Below are 16226 nucleotides of genomic sequence, written 5' to 3'. Positions count from 1 at the left end.
TGACTTGTAAGACCTCTACAACAAAAACTACAAAAATTGCTGAGAGAAATTAAAGAAGACCTAAATAAATGAAGAGATATAATGTATTCATTGATTGGAAGGCTCAATATTGTCAAGATGTCTTTTTCTTCTAAACTTATCTATAAAAACAATACGATTGCAGACAAAATCACAGCAGGTATTTTTGTGTAAACATTGTCAAGTGGATTCTAGGATTTTTATAGAATTGGGCAAAAGACCTGAAGTGACGCTTCACCAAAAAAGAGACATGACTGATTAATAAGCACAAGAAGAGACACTAAAATCTTCTCTAAGTCTTGTCTAAAATTAGACATCAGGGAAATGAAATGCAAACTAAAACCACAATAATCTACTAGATTTCAAATCCACTAAATGTCTACACTTAAGAAGACTGACCAAATCAAATGTTGGTAAACATATCGATGAGCAACTGGAACTCTCTCATCCACTGTTGCTGGAATGAAAGATGGCACAATCACTTTGGAAAACCATTTGGTAGTTTCTTTAAAAGTTAAACATATGAAGCAGCAATTCCTCTCCTAGGCATTTATCCAAGACAAAATAAAAACATATGTCCTCCAAAAGACTTGCACTCAAATATTCATAGCTGCTTTATTCATAATAGCCAACTGCCACAAATATCCAAAATGTTTACCAAACAAATGGATAAACCAAATTAACACATTAATACAACAGAGTACTATATCAGCAATAAAAAATGATGTACTGGCCAGGCACGGTGGCTTATGCCTGTAATCCCAGCAATTTAGGAGGTGGAGGCGGTCGGATCATTTAAGGTCAGGAATTCGAGACCAGCCTGACCAACATGCTGAAACCCTGTCTCTACTTAAATACAAAAAGTAGCCAGGCGTAGTGGCAGGTGCCTGTAATTCGGCTACTCAGGAGGCTGAGGCAGGAGAATCGCTTGAACCCAGGAGGTGGAGCTTGCAGTAAGCCAAGATTGAGCCACTGCACTCCAGCCTGGGCAACAGAGCAAGACTCCTTCTGAAAATAAAAATAAAAATAAAGATGATGTACTAGTGATAAAACATCATGGATGAATCTCAAAGATATCATGTTGAGTGGAAGAAGCCACGGAAAGTATGTATGACACAAAAAAGTACATACTTTATATTCCATTTTTTGAAGTTCAAGAACAGGCAAAATTATTCTATGATGACAGATATAAGAACAGAATTGCCTATGGGAGATGGTGACCCACTGGAAGGGATCATGAAGGACTTTCTGAAGTGATGGCAATATTCTATATCTTGACCGAGGTGGTAGCTACATGGGTGTCTACACTTAGGAAAACTCACTGAGTTGTACAACTGAATTCTATGCACTTAATTGTATGTCAATTTTACCTCAATGAAAATAAGTCTTTATGGGATTTCAGAGTGATCATCCTATAAAGGGTAGAGTCTATTTTTTAAAATTGATTTTGAATAAAAAGTTACTTAATTCCCTAAAAAAACTCAAAGAAAACTCAGATGAAGGAGAGAAAACCATAACATTCCTCCTGAAGTCACGGGTTAGAAAAGTGATTCAGAGTTAATAGGTAGGGGCTGGCATTCACTTACTGATCCATCCTAGCCATAAATATTTACTGAGTACTACTAGGAGGCAGGTACCTTTTCAGCCACTGGCAGTGCAGAGGTGAATGGGAGAGACAAAGCTCTTGTCCTTACTGAGCATATGTTCTCTAAGAAGCTAGACAAGGAGACCCAATGAATAAACTGGGTAATTATAGACGGTGACAAGTGCAATGGAGGAGTACACAGGAATATGGGATTGAGGGGACCTAAAACAGTTAAGAGTGATCAGGGATGGCCTCTCTGAAGAAGTGATGAGTTGGGTCATGGGACAAAGGGCCGATGGAAGAACACTGCAAGCAGATAGAAGAGACAGTGCAAAGGTCCTGAGGCAGGAAGGAACAGGATGTGCCTAGAGAAGTGAAAGACAATCAATGTGACTCGTGCCTAACAAGCAGGATGGAGAGCATGGGATGGGGCTGGGTTGGATAGATAGGAAGGAGCTAGGACACGCAGCCCCTAGGGAAAGGGCAGGAAGGACTGGGTGACAGTCTAAGACAGAAGGGAGATACTGCAGGGTTTTCAGCAGGCAGGTGATGTCATCTGCCACCCAGGAGGGTAGTTGGGAGTGGGGACAAGGCTGGGAGCAAAAAGGCCCAGTTAGGAAGCTACTGCAGAGGCGACAGCAAGAGCTGGCAGTGACACGGACCAGGGTGCTGGCAGCAGGGTGGAGAAAAGACAGATTTCAGATGTATTGTAGGAGCAGAACTGACAGAACTGCTGATGCCAACATGAAAAATGAGAAAAAGGAAGGATGGGAAAATGGTGATATCATTCACTAAGATGGAGAATTCTGGAGTGGAACAAGTCTGGGGTTAAGAGTTTCATTCTGAGATGCCTATGTACCCAGCAAGTGGCAATGCCAAGGAGGCGGTTGGATACATGAGCCTGCAACTCAGGAGAGGGGTCTGGGCTGGAGTTCAAGGTCATTTCTTATAGATGGTGTTAAACCATGGGCCCAAAGAAACTCTCCCAAGGGGAAGCATCTCAGAGTAAAAGAAGGGGACCCAGGATTGAGCCCTGCCATTCAAAACTCCAGTCAATGACAAAGGAGGAGCAATGAATTGGTGTCACTCAATGAAATGGAAGCCAGGACAGTGTTTCCAAAAGTCCACGCTGTGTCCTGAAGGCCTAGAACAGCCTCAGGCATACAGCAGTCCCTGGAGAAAGGAAGGAGGGAGGGAGTGTGGTAACCTTGCCTGATGTTGCTGAAAGATGCAATGAGAGGAGCCACAGAAGAGCCCACTGACTTCAGTGCATGGGAAACGTCAGTGGTATTGACAAGAGCATCATCAGTGATGTGCGGGACTAAAACTGGGCCACTTTCATTTGGATGGAAATCAAGACGACCATGGAATGTCCATTCAGCCACAATCCCCCAAGGGCTCACACTTCCTGCAATAGCTCCCCATGATGAATCCACTCTCTCGGTGTCAAATCCACTGAGGTCTTCACGTCAGTGGTTCCATAAACGCAAGACCTGACAGACCAGCAAGGCCACAGCTACAATGGGAGATGCGAGCAGGGCTCCTGCTGCCTGGGCTCAGGGATTCTGGCCACTTCAACAACTTAACCCTATGTACCCCCAGAGGCCCTCACCTGTTTCCCCACCTTGGCCTGTGAATTCTCACACCTGTGATTCCCACCTGCCTTCCCGTCTACCTGGTCCCATAACTTTGCTGCCACACCTGTATTTTCATCTGTCTCCACTGCCTGCTAGTGGTGCACAGCAAGGGTCGCCAAACTTTTGATCCTGTCCGCTATTAGAGAATAAATCAATAAGCCCACAGCTCGGACTTACCTGGAACAGTTAGCACGGAGGGGGATTTTTCAGGCTGTTCGTTAACACGGCTACTGTTTTGAACCCAGAAAATGTTGACGGGCTCAGGCGGGCCCACAGCCTGACAGGTGAGGTTGAAGGCTGTGTTTCTGGTGACATTCATGCTCTCAGGCTGCTTAGTAAAGTGAGGAAGTCCTGCGGAGAAAACGTTACACAAAAGAATGTTTCAGATCTGAAAACAGAGACAGAGCCCAAAGGGGAATGGAAACTGGACTAGAACTTGGCAATAGATTTCTTTTTTTGTGGGGGGCGGGTGGGGATGGAGTCTTGCTCTGTCACCCAGGCTGGAGTGCAGTGGCCTGATGTCGGCTCACTGCAATCTCTACCTCCTGGGTTCAAGTGATTCTCCTGCCTCAGCCTCCTAAGTAGCTGGGATTACAGGCGCACACCACCAGGTCTGGCTAATTTTTGTATTTTTAGTAGAAATGGGGTTTCACCATGTTGGCCAGGCTGGCCTCGAACTCCTGACCTCAAGTGATCCTTGCCCCTTGGCCTCCCAAAGTGCTGGGATTACAGGCGTGCCACCGCGCCCAGCCTTGGCAAACAAGAGTTCTTTATCTACAGCCTCAGGCAGGTCTGTATTAATCAGTTTTCACCTCCTTAAGTTGGATAAGAAGGAGCACAGAGGCTAATTCCTGCCAGTCTACTTTAAGCCAGCTTTCTAGGATGCTTTGCCAAAGGGGCTATAAATAGTGACTCAGAACTGGTTTTACCAGAAGGCAGGCCACAGGCAGTTCTTACATCAGGTGTTGCTCAAACTCCTGGGACTGACTAGTTGGCAGGTTTTCAGTATTTCTTACCAAAATAAACGCAGAGTAAAACAAAGCTATGTAATAGATCTGTCCATGGTACGAAGACATTCTATTATGTGTGTGACTTTCAGATGGGTCATAAGGAATTTTAAAATCCACAGCCTTGTATAAGGCTGAGTGCTTTTCAAAGCAAATTCTCATGAAAACTGTATAAACACAGTTGCAGTTACAATCCTTAAATCTACCGTACTTTCCAAAATCAAGGTCCCAAGGAAGCTCAGAGAAAGCCAGTCAGTACTCATTTGGGGCAGGTGTTCAAAAATATAACGAGTCCAGCTAATTGTGTTCTTTTGGGGATTGGGAACTCACAGATCTGGTTCCAGCAGGAATGACGTGGCAGTTATGTGAAATGGAATTCTTTTATCCTGTTTCAAGGTTTTTTTGAAACTCTGTTTGGACTTAATATGTTCCTGCTCTGGGCATTTTTCTGGGATTCTGACAAATAAAATCTCCTGTAAATATTTTTTTCCCAAATTAGCTGCAAATGTAGGAAACCCCCTCTTTGGCTGATGTTGACGTAACCCTGAGAAAGAGCTGTCCAGCCTGGGATGGGCCTAGAGCAAAGGTCATGAAGAGACTCCTCTGAGGGAGTCTCTTCCCCCTCCCCTCTGTCTTCCCCACTCACTCCTCCTCCTTCCATCTGTGCTCCCTGAGGCTTCCCTCCACATTGGTGGGCATCAATTTCAGGTTCACAAAAGAATGGGTAGCATAGCAGACTTTCAGTGGGAGATGTTTCTGACTGAAAAGCTAATCACCTGCTCTAAAGCCTGTGACAAGGAAGGTCAGGATAAAGTAGAAAAGGGAGGTGACCTAATGGCTCTGCTAAGAGGGGCACCTCAGAGAGGAGGGGCACAAGGCCCCCAGAGGGAAGCCCCCAGGGGTAGTGAGGAGTGACCTCTGAGGGTGATAATAAAGATGCTTCCTCCTTGCAGCACTGCCATTGCAGAACCAGGCATGCAAACCCCCAAATCAGGGCACCAAACCAGGACCTGGGCTCACCTGGCCTGGTTCACCTGTGCATCAGCTCACATTGCCCATTAGAGTTCAAGTTCCCTGAGGGCAGAGATTGCCTTTTCCTAGCCTGATGTCTCACTCTTCATCCCCATGGACCTTCATATGATGTCATGGAATTTCTCTGAACCATGCACCTGACAGATACCAGTGCCCAAAAGAAGTCTCAGGCTGAGCTGTTGAGCCAGTCGAGGAAAACCACTCACCCTCCAGGGTTTCACTGTCTGCATAGGCAAGACAGGAAAAGATGCTGAATAATAAGCCAACAGCCACTTGACCAGGTGAGTGGTATCTGGTACCAGTACTGGAAACTGGATAGTAGAAAGCATTTTGCTTCTTAAAAAGAAGTCTTCAGCTTATTTTTATTGTCAATAATCTGTGGACAAGGAAGTCCAAAATCTCTTTTTATCTCACCTGTAATGCCTATAATAGAGCTCAAACTTCAGGAATTGAATTCATTTCATTATTACTTATAGACTACAAAGTGGAGTACCTTGTAAAATTTCAGTGCTGATAGATTTGCAAGGTTTGCATACAGAGTTATAAATAGGCAGGCAAAACTCTAGAGTATTATACACAAAACATTTAACACAGGCCCTAAAACAAACAGTTCTCTGGCAATGGGACTCTGGTCTGTGGACTTACCTTGTACTTCGATGTAGATGGGATCAGACACGATCTCTTCATTGTTTATTTTCATCTTACAGATATACGACCCATTGTCTGAACGCTGCACACTGGTTATGCTGCAAAGAAAAACACATGAAGATATTTACAGTGACTACCCTTTGAGTTCCTATTATAGGATGGAAACTTCTTCAACTTCTTTGTCATATGCTGTGATAGTTAATTTTATATGTCAGCTTGGCTAGGCCATTGTACGCAGTTGTTTGGTCAAACCCTAGCCTAGATGTTGCTGTGAAGGTACTTTTCACATGTCACTAGCATTTAAAGCAGCAGCCTTTGAGTAAAGCACATTACTCTTCATGATGGGGGCAGGCCCCATCCAAACAGTTGAAGGCCTTATAAGAAAAAGACAGAGGTCCCCAGGGAAAGAGGGGCTTCTGTTTCCAAACTGCCTGAGGACTCAAGACTGCAACATCAAGTCTTTCATGGGTCTCCACCCAACACCCTGTTGATTCCATATTTGTCAGCCCCCACTGTGTGTGAGCTAATTCCTTAAAACAGAGGAATTATTTTAAGGAATTCATAATTTAGGAATTAATAAATAATTTAGGAGTTAATTTAAGGAACTAAGGAAAATTCCTTAAAATAATTCCTCTTTCTCTCTCTTTCTAGATAAAGCTGTAGACACAGATCCTATAGGTTCGGTTTCTTGGAAAAACCCTGACTAATATATGTGCTATCACTTGTCTTGATTTTTTTTTTTTTTTTTTTTTTTGAGACAGATTCTGTCTCACTCTGTAGCCCAGGCTGGAGTACAATGGCATGATCTCAGCTCACTGCAACATCTGCCTCCTGGGTTCAAGTGATTGTCCTGCCTCAGCCTCCTGAGTAGCTGGGATTACAGGCATGCGCCACCATGCCCGATTAATTTTTGCATTTTTTAGTAGAGACAGGGATTTGCCATGTTGGCCAGGCTGGTCTCGAACTTCTGACCTTAGGGGATCCACCCACCTTGGCCTCCCAAAGTGCTAGGATTATGGGCATGAGCCACCATGCCCGGCCACCTGTCTTGATTTCTATGGTAGACTCTGCACCAGTGGTTCTCTGCATTGGGGTACTGCCCCCTCAAGGCATTTTGGAAATTTGTGGAGTTGTTTTTGGTGGTCACAATGACTAGGGGGGCTCCATGGGTTTTTAGGGGCCAAGGGCAACTGTTCCATATCCCAAATGACCTCCTGAGACTAGACCCTAATTCCATTTAACATACTTGTATGGTTTCAATATTCACCTAATTTACCAGGACTGCAATGACTATAAAAATGGAGAGCTGGTAGCCTTTGTCCTGTTTAGAACTTTCTGGGGCCCTAGCCATCATTTTGTAAGGTCTCTCACTGACAGCATGACTGTATTTGCAGCAGTCACAGGTCAAGTGCTTGAAGGTGCACCTAAGGTGCAAGTCCCTGGGTACTTAATGATCTCTCCTGGGGTGGACATGCCCGGTGTTTACATGTTGAAATGCACATTTTATTTTATTTTATTTTAGATGGGGTCTCGCTCTGTCACCCAAGCTGGAGTGCAGTTGCACCATCATGGCTCACTGCAGCCTTGAACTCCTGGGCTCAAGCCATCTTCCCACCTCAGCCTCCCAAAGTGCTAGGATTACAGCCATGAGCCACCGTTCTCAGCCGGGGAACATTTTTAAATACTTTCAGATGCTCTCCAGAGGATTTCTTTATTGGCTCAAAGACACTCCTCTTTAAACACAGCAAAGAAGACCATGACCAGGGGAACGAAGAAAAAGAAGAAAAACATGGAAGTTCCACCTTCCTTCCTAGAAGCTTGCTTCCCTGTATAACCTATTTATTTCTAAACAAAATAAATCTCATCCCTCAACCTGTGAAGGGCTGAGGCTTAAGGCTTAAAAGAAACCAGGAAGCTGTCAAGGGTAGAGGGGGCTCCATCCTGAACCATGGCCTGATAGGCAGGGGTGGCAGCTGCCAGAGGATAGCACAGCCTGGTTAGCATCTGGAGCAGACATGTGGTAGTGAGTGAGGTCCCCAGGTCTGAATGAGACAGAGTTTCCTTAGGTTGAATTCAGTTTTCTGAACACTAAACATTTTAAATTTACTTCTTCCCAACAATACCATTTTGCAGATCCTCATTGGCCTGTGATAAATAGAGCAGCTAAGACACAGCTCAACAATGGCATCAGTCAGAACTCGGGGGGTCAGAGCTACTCAGGTTAACATTACTTCCTTACTGTTCCCAGGATCCAGGAGTTAACAGTCCCCTGTCATTGCATTTCCTGATGTGTAAATCTGAGTGGCTTCCCTTTGACTTGAAATGCTCTGTCTTCCCCTTTCCCCTCGTTCTTTTGTAGGAGCAATATAATTTTGGAATGCACCTGATGAATGAATGGTGGGCATGGGGGAGGTCCCAGGGATCAAGGAAAGGCCAGATCCTTTCATGCTTTGGGGCAGTGGCTGGATGTCACAATGCTTAGAGGTTACCAGGAGAAGATGAAAAGAGAATACACAGGACAAATATCTCCAAATAAGGAGCTGGCTGACCCTCTCCTGGTAGCCCCCTGGATATCATGGTGACAGGAAGGGCTGAAGAAAGATGGGAGAATTCTGTGCCTAGAATGATGTCCTGCCCATCGTGGGCAATGACTAGTGGTTGAGCGGTGACCCTGGCTTTCAGCAGTTCCTGAAGATCCTGCACAACAGATGGATCTAATCTTTGGAGTTCAAAGGGAAACCAAGGCTACTGAAGAGGGGGTGCTTCTACATATTTCACAAATCCACTTTAGAAGAGGCATCATTTTCTTGAGGCAAGACCCAGGGGCTCAACAGAGTGAACCATGAGATCGGACAGACTGAGGACACTTGTGCCTTTGAAGACCGGCTCTGCCTCAAGGTCTGGGACCCGGGAGTGGCAGCAGGCTTGCAGCTGGACTCAGGGAGACAGGGACCAGAGAGAAAGTGAAGGCCGGGAGGGAGGTGGGGCACAGCCCCAGGAAGGCAGCCTGAGGGGACTGCACCCAGACCAGAGGTACAAAGCGGAGGTGCAGAGCCCCCAGAAGCCGAGAAACTATGAGGCACAAAGGACCGTCTGGCAGCTCACCCTGGACTGTAGAAATCAGACTGCGTAAGATGCCCAGGAGAACCTTAAGCCAACCAGCAAGGAGGATACACACCAGAAATAGAAAAGGAGCATGCAGAATGCAAAGAGAACTCAATCGGAAGTTTGTCTTTAGTCATTCAAGGCAGGAAGGGCTTAGCAGTTGTCTGGTAAAAATAGGCACCTGCATTAATTAGCAAGGCCTGACCCATGCCACCTATATTACAGCAAAGATTTTCCATAAATCATTATACTTGTCGCTTTCTAGACATCCAAGGGAAAGGCTCCCACTGGGAGGGTGGGGTGTGGGGTGGGGCTGGAGACTGGAGGGGCTGTCCCTGGCTCTCCTCCCTCTGCCCAGAAAAACAGGAGGCTCAGTCTCTGTGGAGGCTCAACCAGAAAGGCTCCGGGCTCAGAACAGCAATCTAGGCATCCCAACCACCATGTAAGAGGAGCTCCAGAGGAAACGCGGAGAGTGGATGCGGAAGGGGGGAAGTTCAAGAAAGTGCCCCAGCACTGAAGATATGGGTGTTTCCTAACCGGGCCCCCGGCTGGGCAGCACAGTAGGAGAAAAAAGACCCACCACATGGGGGCTTCATCAGGGAACGTTACAACTCTAAGATGAGGTGAAGATCCCAAAAGCTTCCAGAGAGAACAGAAGCAGATCACTTATGAATGAATCAGAATTACATCCTGCTTCTCTAGAGCAACCCAGAACTCAAAGGAAATATATCAGTGACTTCAAAGTTAAAACAAAAAATATTTTCCTTTCGAACTCTGTACCCAGCCAAACTACCTCAAGGTGAAGGTAGGAAAAAGAATGGCATTTTCAGGCATGCAAGTCCCAGGAAGTTAGTGACGGATAAGCTCCTTGCCAAAGTAAAAGAGTAAAAGCCAAAGAGAGTGAGAAGCGGGGAGCATGTTCCAATGAAAGCTGACGGCTCTTGACTACCACAACCCCGCCGGTTTCAACTGCAAAGATGAAACAGAATTTAGAAACTTCACTGTTTGGCTTGAAGACCAGAAAATCAGATACTACAAGACTGAAGACAGAGGTAATTTAAGAAACATCCACAGCAGTGACTGGCCCGAGTTCTTTCAAAAGTATCTCAGAGATGTTAACTGTCGTTTAAAGATTCAAGATCGACAAGAAGCTATTGACTGGCTTCTTGGTTTAGCTGTTAGATTTGAATATGGAGATAATGCTGAAAAATACAAGGACTTAGTACCTGATAATGCAAAAACTGCTGACAATGCAACTAAAAATGCAGAACCATTGATAAATTTGGACGTAAATAATCCTGATTTTAAGCCTGGTGTAATGGCTTTGGCTAACCTGCTTCAGGTTCAATGTCATGATGATTGCCTGGTAATGCTTAAGGCAATTCAAATTTTGGTTCAGGAGCACCTGACACAGGATGCAGTTGCTAAAGCAAATCAAACAAAAGAGGGCTTGCCTGTTGCTTTAGACAAACATATTCTTGGTTTTGACACAGGAGATGCAGTTCTTAATGAAGCTACTCAAATTCTGTGACTGCTGTATACAGAAGAGCTCAGACAGCTACAGACAAAAATTAATGAAGCCATAGCAGCTGTTCAGGCAATTATTGCTGATGCAAGGACAGACCACAGGCTGGGAAAAGTTGGAAGATGAACACTTTAGGACTTCAGCTTTTCACCTATTTAGTCTATTTAGTACAATTGGGAACCATGTATACTTCCGGCATGTTTGGAAATCAATATATCACATTCTCGGGGGAGGAATCCCAGAAAATTGAGTAAGTTCTAGAGGTTTACCACCATTACTTTTTTCTTTAATAAAGTTTAGGAAAGTAGAAAAAAAAAAGAGTAGAAGCCAAGAAAGAGGACCTGGGCTCTAGGAAACAGGAGCTGGACCACAGGAGGCATAGAGGATCCTCAGAATAGTAGTAAAGATAGCTGGACCCCAGACCCAGAGGGAACCTGATTAGACAGAGGCAGAAGGGAAGAAGCCAGGACAGGCATCTCCTAAATAAATAAATGAATATCAGTACTGATAATTTTGTTGTGGTGTGAGGAGATGCATACATTCCTTTAGAGAAGAATGAGTGATTGATACTTAGGAAACTATTAAATTCAAGATAATCAAAAAGCTACTCAAGAATCGCTATGGGGCTGGGTGCAGTGGCTCATGCCTGCACTCCCAGTACTTTGGGAGGCTAAGGTGAGAGAGTCATTTGAGGCCAGGAGTTTGAGATCAGCCTGGGCAACATAACGAGAACCCATCTCTTACCAAAAAAAAAAAAAAAAAAAAAAAAAAAATTAAAAATTAGCTGGGCATGGTGGCACATGCCTGTAGCCCCAGCTACTTGGGAGGCTAAGATGGGAGGATTGTTTAAGCCCAAGAATTTGAGGCTGCAGTGGGCTATGATCGCACACTGCACTGCAGCCTGGAAGATAGAGTGAGACCCTGTCTCAAATTAATTAATTAATTAATTAAGTGCTAAGTCCTTAAGTGCTATGGCTTGAATATTCCCTTCAAAACTTGTATTAAAACTTAATCCCCAATGTGGCAGTATGGAGATGTGAGGCCTTTAAGAGGTGATTGGGTCATGAGGACTCTGCCCTCATGAATGGATTAATCCATTCATGGATTAACAATGGGATAAAGAATTAATGGGAGTGGAACTGGCAGCTTTATAAGAAGAGGAAGAGAGACCTAAGCTAGCACATGAGCACGCTCAGCCCCCTCGCCGTGTGATGCCCTGCGTTGCCTTAGGACCCCGCAGAGTCGCATCAGCAAGAAGACCATTATCAGATGGGGGTCCTTGACCTTGAATGTCCCAGCCTCCTTAACTGTGAGAAATAAATTTCCTTTCTTTATAATTTACTCAGTTTCAAGTATTCTTTTATAAGCAACAGAAAACAGACTAAGACAAGAAGTAAAATATAATTATAGCATATTACATGATTCAGCTGAAAACAGAATTTCCATAGCTACAAAAAAATACCCTGGGTATTGATTTAACCACAGCTATGAGTAGCATTCTATTAGATTAACACACCATGCTGGAGACTAGCACACACATACAGACATACATAGGATTACATAGGGATTGAATATCTCTGGAAAGATACCCAAGAGATGGGTAATCTCCATTCCCTACAGGGAGAGGGCTGGGGGCTGGAGTGGAAAAAAGACTTTTTGAATAGTCAGAATGTTCTACCACTGCTTAAAAAAAATGGTATAAAAATCTCATCAGATTTTGGCCAAATACAAACATCTGAATGAGGGAAGACAAAAGAAATGGCACATACTCAGCCATGGTGTCTAGACAGGAACCACCTGGGTACAGCTGCATGGCCAGCAGCTGCAGAAACCCATCACCCCAGGGCAGCACAGGCTGGGTTAGCCCAGGCACATCTTATACACACACAGCATGTCTCTAACCCTCAGTCCTTACCACTACCAGTCTAGCCTGCTCAGAAATGACTTGGAAGTAGCAGTTATGCTCTAGAGTCTTTTTAAAAGAAATACAAAAAAAGGACAAATATTGTATGATGCCACCTATATGAGGTAGTTGTAGTAGTCAAACTCACAGAGAAAGAAAGTAGACTGTGGGAGGCTGAGGCAGAAGGATCACGTGAGCCCAGGAGTTCAAGACCAGCCTGGACAGCATGGCAAAACCCTGTCTCTACAAATACAAAAAAACAAACAACAAACAAACAAAAAACAGCTAGGTACAGTGGCTCATGCCTGTGGTCCCAGCTACTGGGGAGGCTGAGGTGGGAGGATCGCTTGAGCCTGGGAGGTCGAGGCTGCAATAAGCCGTGATCGCACCACTGCGCTCCAGCCTGAGCAACAGAGTGAAACCCTGTCTCAAGAAAAATAAATAAATAAAATAAAATAAAAATAAAAAATAGAGTAGTGGTTACTCTACTGGAGTTCTGGAGATGGATGTGCAACGTGTGCTGATGGTTGCACAAAAACGTGAATGCCACTGAATTGTATACTCAAAATGGGTTGAAATGGGGGACTTTATGTTATATATATGTTTTACCATGTCAAAAAAATTAAAAATGAAAAAAATAATTTTAAGAAATAGGTCCACTGTAAGCGCCCTGTTTTTACCTGCCACCGTTCACATGGTGCCGACAGGGTAAGCCAAGGGCAAGGAAGTTCGAGCTGAAAGGAAGTCTTGTGAACAGGTCGCAAGTCAGAAAGTATCAGGCATCTGTGGTTAATAACAGCTTTTCCAGCAGATAGTTTGGTTAAAGAAATTAGATTTTTATTTTCTAGATTCTGTTCTCATTGCCACCAAGAGCAGCAGAATAAAGAACCGGCAACAGGCATCAGCCCCAGTAAGGCAAGATGGGAGGGAAAAGCCCAGCACAGAGAGCCCATGGGGGCCCCGAAAACACAGCATCCACAGTACCAGGAGCCTGCATGGAGATGCATGGAGATGGGGGCCCCAAAGGAAACAGGATGTCAGGAGACGCAAACTACCCACTTTTGTTTTGTTTTGTTTTGTTTTCGAGGCAGTGTTGTTCCGTTGCCCAGGCTGGAGTGGATCATGGCTCACTGCAGCTTCAAACTCCGAGGCTCAAGCGATCCTCCCACCTCAGCCTCCTGAGTAGCTGGGACCACAAGTGTGCACCACCATGTCTGCCTAATTTTTTTTTTTTTAATTTTTTGTAGCAATGGGGTCCTATTGTGTTGCTCGGGCTGGTCTCGAACTCCCTGGCTCAAGCAATCCTCCCTCTTTGGCCTCCCAAAGTGCGGGGATTACAGGCATAAGCCACCATGCCTGGCCCCAACTTAACATTTTTATAAAGAAAATTTAATGAAACAGTAGAATCATTCCAGCTTTAGCCACTGGGAACTATGCCAGAATTTAAAAAGCAGTGTGAATCCCTAGACTAAACAGAAAACAACAAATACTTTCCCCTCACCACAAGACTCCCACCAGTTTTTGGTTTTGCTTGGGAGCTGGGCTTCCCTGTCGTCTGGTCTGGTGGCTGCTGCCCTTCTGGAGTGTTGCGCCTGACCAGGGCACATTTCCACCCAAGCTAGAGGGCTGTTTACTTGCTATACTAGACATCAGAGCTAATTATAATATATATCCCAAATTACACCCTTCTTTGGAGACTCCAGTGAAAGGTCTTGGCCAAGCAGTGTCCTGGAACCTGGACAAACGGATATGCTAGTTTCGAGCTGATATTGGATACAGGTGAGGCAGGTTAGTGGCTACAGCACCAAGGAGGAGGCCCAGCCCACTGACTCAAGTCTCATAAAGGAGGCCAGGTGAATGCTCTCGAGGGACCTCAACCTGTAGCAGACACTGAATGTTTTCTACACCTATTAATCAAAGATGACTCCTGGCTCCATCAACAATAACAGACATCCAAGTGAAACAGGAAAAAAAGAGGGAGATTATTAGCATAAAACAAGCATAGCTCAAGAGGGCACCTAGGCTAGGAGCAGAACATCAGTTATTTCTTCCCTTGTATATACCCCAAACTCAGCATTTTAAAAAGAATTTTTCATTTACAAAAATTAAAAAATTTTTAATTTTATAATTTCATTTGCATCCTTCTATATTTGCTTTTATTTCACAACAGCAGATTACAGTGGCATATAGCAGCCTTAAAATATTTTGAAGACTTTTAGTAATATACAGAAATGTTCATAATATAAACTGAATGAAACAGAATATGTAATCATCTATGCAATAAAATACCTTAAAATATTTTGAAGACTTGCCGGGCGCAGTGGCTCATGCCTATAATACCAGCACTTTGGGAGGCCGAGGCGGGCAGATCATGAGGTCAGGAGATCAAGACCATCCTGGCTAACACCATGAAACTCTGTCTCTACTAAAAATACAAAAAATTAGCTGGGCATGGTGGCGGGCGCCTGTACTCCCAGCTACTCAGGAGACTAAGTCAGGAGAATTGCTTAAACCCGGGAGGTGGAGGTTCCAATGAGCTGAGATTACGCCACTGCACTCCAGCCTGGGTGACAGAGCAAGACTCTGTCTCAAAAAACAAAAAAATTTTTTTGAAGACTTTTAATAATATACAGAAATATTCATAATATAAACTGAATGAAACAGGATATATAATCATCTATGCAATAAAAGATTAATTTCAAGAACATTTAATTTATTTATATATAATTGGAAAATTTTTCTCAGAGTTGCAATTATAAGCCATTGTTTCTTTCTTTGTATGTTTGGTATTTTCCAAGTTTTTGACAAAATACATACATTACTATTAAAATAATTTAAACACACACACACACACACACACACACACACACACACACACACACACACGAGCCAAGACCAAGTAGTTTAAAAATCTTTCAGGGACACTCTTGTGCATGATGCCAAATCTCCCTTAGTCTTTCCAGAGTACATGGGATTCGTACTTAAATGTCCATGAGCTCCTATTATTTCCATCTTTCTTCCCCAAGTTTCAATTAACTGAGATTTGATTGCAAGATGCGGTTGCTCCTGAGAGGCAGAAGTGTACCTCCCCCAGTCCTGGTGCCAGTTCCTCCTCCTCTAAATTAATACGTCAGGGACAAATCTAAAATCTGAAGGCAACAGTACCTTAGCGCTGCCGCACCTGACGTTTGATTTGGCCCTTCCCCTCCATTCTGTTCACAACCATGAGCAGGAGGACAGGGACCAGGTCTGCCCAACTTGCCTCAATGTTCAGCCATCCCTCAGTTAACTATGCAGCCAACAAATAATGAATTGCCGGAAAACACCTTCATGTGCAAGGATGGCCATTTTGATAACTAGTGTGTACTTGCATATGTGTATTGATTTTTACAATATCTCTATTTCTTGGTGTCTAAAATGACATCACCAGTGAATGTTACAGCTTTCCTTAGAGTAAATGACTTTATCACAGTCCTTTCTTCCTTTGGAAGGGAGAGAGCTATATAACAGCAGGGGCCACTACGGGAAAGAGGGTGTAAGAGCAATGGAAGGTGTGAGGAGTAACCAAAGCTCTGGGCCATTAGATACTCTAAACCACATCTTCAACTAGGACAGGTGCTGTTTTAGGACCAAAGACCAGATGCTTTCCCTTCTCTTCCCCTTAAATGTAAGACCTGAAATCATATAAACTCTAGAAGAAAACCTAGACAGTACCATTCAGGACATAGGCATGGGCAAAGACTTTATGATGAAAACACCAAACGCA

The 16226-nt window shown here is 44.2% G+C and overlaps 1 protein-coding gene and 1 pseudogene across 1 annotated transcript in view; one reads left to right on the top strand and one right to left on the bottom strand.

Moving 5' to 3' along the window:
- MERTK (MER proto-oncogene, tyrosine kinase) overlaps positions 1-16226 on the bottom strand; it is a 130955-nt gene that overhangs the window by 78577 nt on the left and 36152 nt on the right. The window contains exons 3-4 of the mRNA NM_006343.3: positions 5925-6025; positions 3418-3591 (exon numbers count right to left, since the gene is read on the bottom strand). Of these exons, the coding sequence (NP_006334.2) occupies positions 3418-3591; positions 5925-6025 (275 nt within the window). The remainder of the gene's footprint in view (positions 1-3417; positions 3592-5924; positions 6026-16226) is intronic.
- Positions 9930-10867, top strand: RTRAFP1 (RTRAF pseudogene 1; annotated as a pseudogene).

This window comes from Homo sapiens, chromosome 2 (assembly GCF_000001405.40).
Source record: "Homo sapiens chromosome 2, GRCh38.p14 Primary Assembly".
Taxonomy (NCBI): Eukaryota; Metazoa; Chordata; class Mammalia; order Primates; family Hominidae; genus Homo; species Homo sapiens.
The sequence above is the reverse complement of the archived record's forward strand: the minus strand, read 5'-3'. Positions and strand labels throughout refer to the sequence as shown.